The sequence below is a fragment of the Homo sapiens genome, chromosome 9 (assembly GCF_000001405.40).
Source record: "Homo sapiens chromosome 9, GRCh38.p14 Primary Assembly".
In the NCBI taxonomy this organism is placed as follows: domain Eukaryota; kingdom Metazoa; phylum Chordata; class Mammalia; order Primates; family Hominidae; genus Homo; species Homo sapiens.
In genome coordinates, this window is record NC_000009.12 from 82,432,931 (window position 1) to 82,445,267 (window position 12,337).

Consider the following 12,337-nt stretch of genomic DNA (forward strand, 5'->3'; position numbering starts at 1 on the left):
AAAGAAGGCCTAAGATGTCACTGTCAGTTGAAGAGGAGTGGGAAACGGCCCCAGATTCCCGGGGCAGGCACAGGTGCAGGAGCCGCGGGGTGAGCCCGGCCAGCTGGGAAGGCCTCACGGACAAGACGAGCAGGTTGCCGATGGCATGGCCAGGACCTGCGGTGGGACCAGGAGCAAAATATGCTTAGTGAGTTGCCCATTTTGAGCAAGTTGTGCACAGATGAAACCAAGGGTCAGAAGTGGAGAGGATACTCCTAAGTCACCCACTTCTCTGTGGCCGGGTGCACACTGGGCATCTGGGAGTTTATGACATCACCATGGGGCTGGTGACAGAGCCAGGGTGTGGAGGAGTGCTTAGGAGCCCAGCGAGGGTGCCTACAAGAGGAGTCAAAGGGCAAAGGGTGAGACCCTTCCACTGGTCCCCCTGGACTCTAGCCTCAGGGACATCCTGCTCCTGGGGGCAGGTGTGTGGCCTTGGATGGGCCTCCCTGTGGGGCTGTTGGGGGTGCGGGACTGATCTGCCAGAGCCCTTCCGCCTGGCGTCTGGCCCAGGTGCTGGCTGGCACCCAGTGGCCCTGTCTTGGCCGGCCCTGTCCCACGGGTTACAGGGCCAGAACCTGGAAGCAGAGCGCAGGACCAGCCAGATCCCGCCAGGCTCCCCGGGGGCCTCTCCAGTGCCTCTGTGCCACCTGGAGCCAGGCCCACCTTCTCCATGGCTGCTGTGGCCTCAAGGGCCACCAGCCTCACTCCGCAGGTTTCCAAAGAGAGGACGCGGTGCCCTGACCTGACTGGTTGCGCCTCTTACCACGTGCCTCCCTGGCAGGCAGGGTCTCCACTTTTTACAAATTTGCCTGAGACCATTCCTCAGGTCATTCAGGTGGTCATGGCCTAGCCAGGCTTTGAACCCGGGCTGTGCAATTCCACAGCTGGTGCTCTGGCCTGTGTGCCTCATGATCATGGATACAGCATCTATTCTTAATTTTTCCTGTAGTCCTGGGGTACTTAGCACCGTGGCATATCTGTAATAAGCACATGCACACCTCGAAGGAGGTCTTCACTTCAACATACAAGTTGACCATGGCATGCTCTGGGCTCCAGTCCTCTACAAAGTTGTAGGGCAGGAACTACCAGTTGTCAGCACAGCACCATCCCACATTGCTCTTCTAATGGAGCCTTTCACCCCAGATGTTCTTTCTCGTCTGATGGGAAGGATCCAAGTATGTAAATATTATGTTCTAGATCAGCTTTGGTCTGTCCTAAAAGAAATTTGCCAGTGGATTATTCCATATGGATAAAAGTCAGTTTCTCTGGTCTTCCTGGAATGTGTCTAGAAAGCAAATACATTATTTACAAGTTCATAGTAGATCAATGTATTGGATTAAAATATGACAAACATAATTTGGTCATTGTGAGAATGCCAGCTCGGTCAACTATTCACCACACATGATGCCCTAAATATAACTCTAGGTTTTCTTATGCCCAAGAGAGGGACATACTCTTGGGTGTCTGGACTAGGGAAACATGTATGAAAAACCATTTGGCCACTCTACATCTTGTTATTGGAGAATCGAAACCATCTATATTCAAAGATATTATTAAAAGGCAAGAAGTTAACTTCTGTCATTTTGTTAATTGTTTTCTGGTTGTTTTGTAGATCTTTTGTTTCTTCTTCTTTTATTGTTTGCTTTATGGTTTGCTGAGTTTCTGTACTGATAAGCTTTGATTCCTTTATTTCATTGACATATCTGGTGTAATTTTTTTCTCTGGTTACTCTGGAGCTTACATTTAAAAATGAATAGTTATGATAGACTATTTAAAGCTGATAAAAATTTTGATCACGCACAAACCTGCTATACTACCCCCACATCCCTTGTCAGTGCCCAAAATTTGTAATTTTTTGCCTTAATTTATATTGTTCTGTATTGGGTGTTTATTAAGAACTCATTGTAGATATAAATATTTTTGACTATTTTGATGTTCAGCTTTCTCAAGGGGGATTTGAAAGATTCTAAAGCATAATTTCAGTAATGTAGAATTCTCAGTTTGAATATGAATTTACTTTTAACAGTTAGGTTGATAGTGTCCTGTATTTTTGCATGAGTATTGTTCTTTCACTTGCGATTGAAGCACTCCCTTAAGCATTTCTTGTCAGGCTGGTCTTATGGTGATGAATTCCATACGCATTTGCTTGTCTGGGAAAGACTTTATTTCTTTAATTTCTGATGGGTAGCTGTGCTAAGTACAGTACTCTTTGCTGACTGATTTCTCATTAGCACTTTGAATATATCATCCTCATCTCTCCTAGAATTCAAGGTTTCTGCTGTGAAAACTGATAGTCTAATGGAGACTTGCTTATTTGTGATTTGATGCTTCACTCTTGCTAATTTTAGAAGTTTTTCTTTGTGTTTGACTTTTGACAAATTGATTATAATGTGCCTTAGAAAAGGCCTTTTTGGGTTGAAAATGTATGGGACCCTTTAAGCTTCACGGAACTGGATGTCCGTATCTCTCCCAAGAATTGGGAGATTTTCAGCTATTATTTTGTTAAATAAGTTTTCTGTGTCTTTGTCTCTTCTCTCTGTTTCTCTTCTATATTTTCAAAATCTGTTATCTTAATATCATGGCACAAGTCTCATAGACTTTCCTTGATTCTTTTTACTCTTTTTTTCTCCTTTTTTCCCTCAGGCTGGGTTATTTCAAAAGTCCTGTCTGCAAGTTCAAAAATTCTTTTGTTTGATCTAGTGTGCCATTGAAGCTCTCAGTTGTACTTTTTATTTAATTCATTCAATTCTTCATTCCTAAGGTTTCTGTTGGTTTGTTTTCTTTTTTTCCTTTCTTTTTTTTTTTTTTTTTTTGAGACAGAGTCTTGCTCTGTCACCCAGGCTGGAGTGCAGTGGCACGATCTTGGCTCACTGCAAGCTCCGCCTCCCAGGTTCACACCATTCTCCTGCCTCAGCCTCCAGAGTAGCTGGGACTACAGGCGCCCACCACCACACCCAGCTAATTGTTTGTCTTTTTAGTAGAGACGGGGTTTCATCGTGTTAGCCAGGATGGTCTAGATCTCCTGACCTCGTGATCCACCTACCTCGGCCTTCCAAAGTGCTGGGATTACAGGTGTGAGCCACCACGCCTGGCCCGTTTGTTTTCTTTAATGGTATCTATGTCTTTGTTGAATTTCTCATTCAGGTTATGGCTTGTTTTTTTTATTATTTGATTAAGTTTTCTAGCTGTATTCTTTTGTATCTCATTGAATTTTCTTAAGATCAATATTTCAAATTCCTTTTAAGGCAACTTGAAAATTTCCATTTATTTAGGGTAACTTTGTGAAGAATTATTGTGCACCTTTGGTGGTGTCAAGTTTCATTGCATTTTCATGCTTTTTATCTCCTATGTTTATATTTATGAGACTGTTGACACGGTCACCTGTTCTAATTGTATAGAGTGGCTTATGTAGAGAAAGATTTTCACCTGGAGATGTGTCTTAGGGTGTCAGTTAGATGGGCTGCATCTGCTTTAGTTCTAGGAGGACACACTAGTGTAGTATCTGTACTTTTCTCTTGCCTTTTTTTTTTTTCTTTTGCTAGTATCCATTTTGGTGATACCTGTGAGTGTCTTGGTGACCTAAGCTGCAGGAGCATGTGCAATTTGTTTTTCTGCTCAGGATTGGGGGCTGGGGGAGAAGGTGGCGGTGTCAGGAAGCTGCATGACTATCTAGTGAATGTGTTACTGAGTCACAGGGGTTGGTTCACCAGTTTGAGATGGGACTCCTCTGGAAACACTCGCCTGGCTGTGGATTACTGGGGCTGCTCTGCAGGTTTGAGATGGGGATCACCTAGAAACACCAGGCCCAGTTGGTGAGCACACTGATGGCACAATAAATCAGTAATCAGTCCACAGTTAGAGTGTTGCAGTCACTAGGATGTGGAAGGCAAACCTCTTTGAGAGTTTGTTTCTAGGATATAGACAGCAGCAGCTGCTTTCCTGGAGAAGGCTGTTGTAATGACAGGGTAGCCTCTGGGATGGAAGGAGGCAGTGACCACTAGTTCATGGAGCAGAATATACTCAGCTATGGCTTGGCTTTCTAGATGGTGCTATATGTGGACTCCTTCTCTGGGGCAGTATAGCCTTGTGGGCATCAAGCAGCTTCCTAAACTAGGCTGCTAGAGATGGGGTTTCACCGTGTTGGTCAGGCTGGTCTCAAACTCCTGACCTCTGGTGATCTGCCCGCCTTGGCCTCCCAAAGTGCTGGGATCACAGGTGTGAGCCACCATACCTGACCTACCTTTTTTTTGTTTTGTTTTGTTAAGAAACTTGCTTATGTTGTTCTTTATTTTCTTCTTGACTTTTTTTTCCCCAGGTTTCCTTACAGTCATGCGTCACTTAATGAGGTAGATACGTTCTGAGAAATGTGTTAGGCAATTCCATTGTCATGCAAACATCGTAGAGTGGACTTACACAGACCTAGATGTGTAGTGTGTACCTATAAACCTGGTACACACCTAGACTATATGGTATAGGCTATTGCTCCTAGGTCACAAACTATACAGCATGTTACTCTACTGAATACTCTAGGCAGTTGTAGTAAAATGGTATTTGTGTATCTAAATATATTTAAGTATAGAGAAGGTACAATAGGGCCAGGCATGATGACTCATGCCTGCAATCTCAGCACTTTGGGAGGCTGAGGTGGGCAGGTCACTTGAGCCCAGGAATTTGAGACCAGCCTGGGCAACATGACAAAACCCCTTCTCTACCAAAGAATCCAAAAAATTAGCTGGGTGTGGTGGTATAGGCCTATAGTCCCAGCTACTTGGGAGGATGAGGTGGGAGGATGGCTTGAGCCTGGGAGGTGGAGTTTGCAGTGAAACAAGATTGTGCCACTGTGCTCCATCCTGGGCAACAGAGCCAGACCCTGTCTTTAAAAAAAAAAAAAAAAAAAAAGTACAATAAAAATTCAGTATTTTACTCTTATGGGACCACTGTTGTATATGTGGTCCATTTTGTCAATTGAGATGTTGTTAAATGGCACGTGACTGTATATCCATTAATAGTAGGTGATTGAGACTGGCTCTCTGAAAACACATCTACACTCACTGTCCCCAGGCCTGGAATAGCTCCCGTCATGCCTTTGTGTGGATTAGGGGAAGGTACTCTTCCTCCAGCAAGTGCAGCAGCCTGGTGCAGACCTTGGGCTGTGGTGCCGATCCCTGAGTGCCCCTAACAGGACCCCAGCTCATGCAGCAGCCTTGCTCTGCCCTTTCTTCGGAAGTCTTCTAATGAGATGTGCATGCAGTGCCCCCACTTTTGCCTCTTACAATCACTCAGGAGATGACGGCAGGTGTACTTTCCTGCAGAAATAGAGAGATTGTAATCTTCTCTATTCTTTACTAACTGGCTAATAAGACAAAATGTCATGAACTCAAGAGGGGCCTTCACATTCCAAAAGAACTATCACACGGCTGGGCTGTGAACCAGGTTTGACTCCTCTGTTCTCCTTAAGCTGCTGGAAAACTTCGTGGCCATGAAATGCTTTGGTCATCTTTCATAGTGGCCAACTCTTGGCCATGTGCTTAATGCGAGGAGAACTGGAATTAGGTGGATAATATTTTATGTGAATCAGGAAACTCTTTAGGCATGAAGTTATTATCAAGTCAGCTCTGAATATTCTATAAATATTTATTCTCTCAGAGGAAAATATTACTTCAAGACTGCCCAGTTTTTCTTAGATTTTATAGCCTTCTCAGTATTTTCTGGCTACATATATGGGGTTTCTAAAGAGGCTGTTACCTAAGCAATGACCTGTGTGTGTGTATGCACATGTATTAGTCACATTAAACACCCTAGTGGTATTTAATACCCAATGGAATTGAAGAACAATGGAACCAATTGCACAATAAACCATCTTATAAGTTAAAATGGTCTCCATCTAATCAGGCCATAAATGTTGTGAAGAGTGTGTAGTTTGATGTTTCTCCTATATCTCAAGCTTCTAATGTAAATGAAGAGAACTTGGAGATGACAGACAGTGAAAATGACTTGCAGGAAAATCCTGAAGACTGTTAAGTAACAGGAGAGTTTCATGTTTGACAGTGTCTGGAAATGTTGAATCTGTTTCACTGGCTGACCTTGGCTTTCATGCGTGTTTGTAAGAAGGCTGCCTCATTTTTACCCAGAAAAAAATGATTTTACTTTTTGTTTATCTGGGCTAGTTAATCTTTTTCCTCCAAAATATTTATTTAATATTTACTCTGGGCACAGCATTGCCTTGTGCAGTGTGTAAGGAATTCCTCAGTGGATTTATAACTGAGATGGGTATTTACAACATCATACCCAATATATAAAAATGAAACTTTTGCTCTTAAATACATGGACTAATTTTGTAAAAAAAAAAAAAAATTCTTGTGCCTTTTCTTTGTGCAAGGCATGGTGCTAAGCACTTCTCTGCATATCATTTGTTTTTCTCCAGATTAATTATCCACTCTTTCCTCAATTGCTCTCAGCACAGGATGGTGAATCTTCATAGATTACATTCATCCAGGGTCCCTTGCCTTTTGGCTTCTGATATAGTTTGGATATTTCTCCCCTCCAAATCTCATGTTGAAATGTAATCCCCAATGTTGGAGGTGGGGCCTGATGGCAGGTGTTTGGATCATGGGGGTGGATCCCTCATGAATGGGTTGGGCCATTTCCTTGGTGATAAGTGAGCTGTCACTCTGAGTTCACAGGAAATATGGTTGCTTAAAAGTGCATGACACCTCGCCTCCAACCCTCTCTCTCTTGCTCCTGCTTTTGCCATGTGACGTGGCAGCTCCCACTTCACCTTCTGCCATGAGTAAAAGCTTCCTGAGGCCTCCCCAGAAGCCAAGCAACGTCAGTGCCCTGCTTTTACAGCCTGGAGGACCATGAGCCAATTGAATCTCTTCTCTTTAGAAATTATCCAATCTCAGATATTTCTTTATAGCAATGCAAGAATGCCCTAATACATAAAATTGGTACTAGGCATGGAGTATTGCTTAAGATACTGGAAAATGTGGAAGCAGCTTTGGAATTGGGTAAAAGGTAGAAGTTGGAAGAGTTTGGAGGGCTCTGAAGAAGACAGAAAGATGAGATTAAGTTTGGAACTTCTTACAGACTGGTTAAATTGTTGACACCAAAATTCCGCTAGTGATATGGACAGTGAAGTCCAGGCTGATGAGAACTCAGATGGAAATGAGGAAGTTATTGGGAACTGGAGCAAAGATCAGCATGTTATGTTTTAGCAGAGAGGTTAGCTGCATTGTGTCCATACACTAGGGATCTGTGGAAGTTTGAACTTCAGAGTGATGATTTAGGCTATCTATCAGAGAAATTTCTAAACAGCAAAGCATTCAAGATGTGGCCTGGCTGCTTCTAACACCCATGCTCAGATACAGGAGCAAATAAATGACTTAAAGTTGGAATTTATATTTAAAAGGGAAGCAGAGTGTAAAAGTTTGCAGCCTGGCCATGTGGCAGAGAAAGAGAAAACCTTTCTGGGAGAGTAATTTAAGCAGTCCATGGAGCAACCACCGGCTAGAGATATTTGCATAACTAAAAGGGAGCCAAGTGCTAATAACCAAGACAATGGGAAAAAGCCTGGAAGGCATTTCAGAGACCTTCCTGGCAGACCCTCCCATTGCAGGCACAGAGGTCTAGGAGGGAAAAATGATTTCATGGGCTAGGCCCAGAGCCCAGCTTCCCTGCACAGCCTCAGGACACTGCTCCCCATATCCCTGCTGCTCCAGCTCCAGCTGTGGCTCAAAGGGCCCCAGGTATAACACGAATGACTGCTTCAGCAACAAAGGGTAAAAGCTGTAAGCATTGGCATCTTTAATGTGATGTTAAGCCTGTAGGTGCACAGAGTGCAAGAGTGAAAAAGGCTCAGCAACCTCTGCCTAGATTTCAGAGGGTGTATGAGAAGGCTGGAGTGCCCAGGCAGAAGCCTGCTGCAGGGCTGGAGCCCTCACAGAGAACCTCTACTAGAGCAGTGTGGAGGGAAAATGTCGGGTTAGACCCCCACACAGTGTCCCAGCTGGTGCACTGCCTAGTGGAGCTGTGAGAAGGGGGCCACTGTCCTCCAGACCCCAGAATAGTAGATCCACTAACAACTTGCACCGTATGCCTGGAAAAGCTGTAGGAACTCAATGCCAGCCCAGGAGAACAACCATGGGGGCTGAACCCTGCAGAGCTGCAGGGGCAGAGCTGCCCAAAGCTTTGAGCACCCACACCTCATATTAGTGTGCTCTGGATGCAGGACATAGAGTCAAAGGAGACTCTTTTGGAGATTTAAGATTTAATGGCTGCCTTGCTGGGTTTTGAACTCACATGGGGCCTGTAGCCCCTTTGTTTCAGCTGATTTAACTCTTTTGGAATGGGAATTACCCAATGCCTACACCCCCATTGTATCTTAGAAGTAAATAACTTGTTTTTTATTTTATAGGTTCATAGATGGAAGGGACTTGCCTTGTCTCAGATAAGACTTTAGACTTTGGGCTTCTGAGTTAATGCTGAAATGAGTTAAAACTTTGGGGACTACTGGGAAGGCATGATAGTATTTTGCAATGTGAGAAGTCCATGAGATTTGTGGGAGGAAGGTGGGAATGATATAGTTTAGAGATTTGCCCCCACCCAAAACTCATATTGAAATGTAATCCCCAATGTTGGAGCTGGGGCCTGGTGGGAGGTGTTTGAATCATGGGGCAGGTTCCTCATGAATGGCCTGGGCCATCTCCTTGGTAATAAGTGAGCTTTCACTCTGAATTCACAGGAGATGTTGTTTAAAAGTGTGTGGCAACAACCCCCCAACTCTTTCTCTCTGTTGTTCCTGTTTTTTCCATTTGACATGCCAGTTCCTGCTTCACCATCTGCCGTGAGTAAAAGCTCCCTGAGGTCTTTCCAGAAGCCAAGCGATGTTGTTGCCATGCTTGTATAGTGCACAGAACCAAAAGCCAATTAAACCTATTTATTTACAACTTATCCAGTCTGAGGCATTTCTTTATAGCAATGCAAGAACACCCTAATATAGCTTCCGTTAAATTTAGCCAATGGGAGATGCTGGCATGAGATCTAGGGTGGGAAGAGAATGAAGTTGCAGTAGTTATCCTCCTTGCCACCTTCTTGCTAAATCATCTTAGATGGGTTGCTTTACTCACAGAGCCACCGTCCTTAGGTTCTTGTAAATGTTCACTGCTTTGCCCCTTAGGACTCAATAATGGCTCCCCATAATTTCTGCTGTTAGAGTATTGAACTGTCTTCTCTTGGCTAGGGAAAACATAAACCCTGCCCTCAGTTTTGCAAATGGTCTCTTTATTAAATTCAATACAAACTACCTAATTTTAATTTGCCATCTTTTCCTAGCTAGTCCTGAACTCATACAAAAGTAAATCAGATGGGTATCTAGTCTTCAAGGTGAAGATAAGCCATGTTTCAACATAAGTATGACAAGATAGAATTTAAGTAAGAGGCAGTGTAATACACCAGTGAGAACAGTCAACTTGAAATTAGGTTGTATAGATTATAATCACTGCTCTGCTTCTAGTTGTGATTACCTGGGTATATAAAGAAACTAGATGTGCTCAAAATTCTCTCCAATGTTGAGATTTTATACTGACTGCTCTCTTTGAGTTCTTTAAGAAAGTAGCAATTAAATGCTAGAAGGGAGTGGCAGCTAAAGTACCATGGAAACCTGGGGAAAACATAGATTAACTCGTGACAAAATTACTAAGAGCAATGACATTTCTGAGGAAGAAGAGATTGCTGGAATAAGGGAAAGCTTCAGGGAACAGATGATGCATGGGAAATCTTTATTTCATATGTTGGGTTAGAAAATCATTAAGTGAGTAAATAAGTGTTGGTAAATCTTCCTGAGTTAAAGCAAAGTCTGTGGAGTTCCTGACATTCCTTGTAGAGCCATCCAGCTATGGAACATGACTTAACTATGGTAGTTAGCAGGTACATGATGCCAGTTGTATTAGTCCATTTTCACACTACTGATAAAGACATACCCAACACTGGGAAGAAAAAGAGGTTTAATTGGACTTACAGTTCCACATAGCTGGGGAGGTGTCAGAACCATGGTGGGAGGCAAAAGACACTTCTTACATGGTGGTGGCAAGAGAAAATGAGGAAGATGCAAAAGCGGAAATTCCTGATAAAACCATCAGATCTTGTGAGACTTATTCACTACCACGAGAACAGTATGGGGAAACCAAGCCCATGATTCAAATTATCTCTCACTGAGTTTCTCCCGCAACATGTGAGAATTATGGGAGTACAATTCAGGATGAGATTTGGGTGGGAACACAGCCAAACCATATCACCAGTGTTTCCTGAGTTGTCTCTGCAGAGACTCTTGTATCCACTTTAGGATACCTAAGATAACTGCTGCTCTTGCCAGAACATGTACTTCTGCTGCCTTTATATTTTCCTTAAGATCCCCTCTTTGCCTTCCATGTCACATGACATTGGATTTTCCAAAGCATCTGGACAGCTTCAGTGCTTCTTTGCTGATAATAACAGAGACTCTTCCAGGAGCAAAAAAGTTCTAAGCAATCTCCCTGTTGTGTTGAGCAAGAAGGGAGGGAGATAGTGTATTTCATGGGAACTCCTGAAGACAGAACTTGTATGACTGCCAGTTATGTAACTATTTAAGAAAAATTACTGATCTATTATTTATTAGGCATGATGTTGACCAAGCCCTCAGGGAACTTAAGACTAGTAGAGGAAAGGGAAGGTTAATAAGAATACTTTAATCCAATGTTGTAAGCACTATGGTGTGACACAGTGGATGCCTAGATTATTATGGGAACCCAGAGACCCTACATAACTCAGCTGGAAGGTGGGTGGGCTTGGAAGGAATCAGAGAAACTCCCTAAGAGATAATGCTAATATTAGCTCATTCAGAAAGGTTGTACAAGAGTTAGTCACAAGGAGAGAGAAGGGAAGGATGTTCACAATGAGAATAGGATGACCTAAACCTTGGAAGTATAAAATAGTGAGGGATGTGTTTGAATTGTGTGCGTATGGGTGTATCATGTGGACATAGACTAGCTTGGTGTATCAGAAGTATAATATAAATGTGGGTAAGTGTCCTTTTAAGGGTTAGTTGGGTGTTTATGTGCTAGCTGGAGAACCTAACCACACAAGATAGCCTTATTTGTCTGGGAAGTACATTTTAATATCCATTAAGTCAATTTAGGAAGGAGATTGTGAGTGTAGTAGATGGGTAAGTTGAGGCTCCCTGTGCAGCATTTTTTCCCACACATCTCTTGGCAAGGAGCCTTGACAAATAGCAACAATAAAAGCTTTACATCTTTCAATCAATATATAATGGAATAATGTAATTCCATTCATGGATGATTTGGCAATCATACCGTCTTGCCAAAGAGGGGGAGATTGATGCACCCAGCCAAACAAAGGTCTGTGTGGCAAGGGAAGCTTGGTAACATGCTCTTGCAGTTTTCTCTGGGTTTGGGAATTATTGCTGTTTTTCTCACTTCTTGGTTTTAATGGGTGCCTGAGAAATACTCTGACTCCCAGGGCTTTGCAGGAAGGGGAAAAAACAGATTTAATGCTATTCTAAGTCTTTAGACACATTTACACATCCTCCATCTGCTTGGGAGGGAAAAAAATTCAGATTTCAATAACAAAAATTGTACAGGTCTTCCTTAAGGCAACAGAAAATGCATATGATAAGGGAATAGCCATGAAGTGCAAAGGCGCATTTAGGTCTTAGTGCTTATTGACTGGAGCTGCAAAGAAGATGTGAAGGATGTGTGAAAAATCCCAAATAAAAGAGCTCGAGTAACATACAATATGGATAAGAAAATGTGCTTTAAAGAAAATGCAACTGTAACAAATGAACATGGGTTATGGAAAAGAAGTGGGGCCGAGGACGAGCAGTGTGTGACAAGAATGACGATAAGCAATATTCTCTTCTTAGAAGTTTGGCTCGCAGAAACAATATTCTGTTCTGCAGTTATTGGTTTGCATTACATTTATTCAAAATACAATTTGAAATGCAAGAATCATGAACTAGACCTACTTTTCCTCTTCTCCCTTGCTACCTGTAAGGGAGATTTCAATCTTACAACCACTGAAAACCATAATCAATGTGAAGAGGGATTGGGATGGCTACAGTACCAGTCCTAGGAGGAGGCTAGAAAGCACAAAACCTCACAATTCCCTGTCAGGCTGGTATAGGGCATGTTGAACCAACAATCACATTCAAGGTAGACATTTGATGGGAAGTATATTAAATGTGTGCTACTGCTTATAAAGACTTTCTGGGATGAAATACTGGATGTGTTTTAGGTTGGTT

At 42.8% G+C, this 12,337-nt stretch overlaps 1 long non-coding RNA gene across 1 annotated transcript; it reads left to right on the top strand.

Annotated features, from left to right (window-relative positions):
- The first annotated feature begins 345 nt into the window (after positions 1–345).
- LOC107987086 (uncharacterized) lies at positions 346–1,614 on the top strand. Its single transcript, XR_001746781.1, has 2 exons — positions 346–401; positions 992–1,614. It is a non-coding gene; the product is annotated as an uncharacterized LOC107987086 (long non-coding RNA).
- Positions 1,615–12,337: the final 10,723 nt, after the last annotated feature.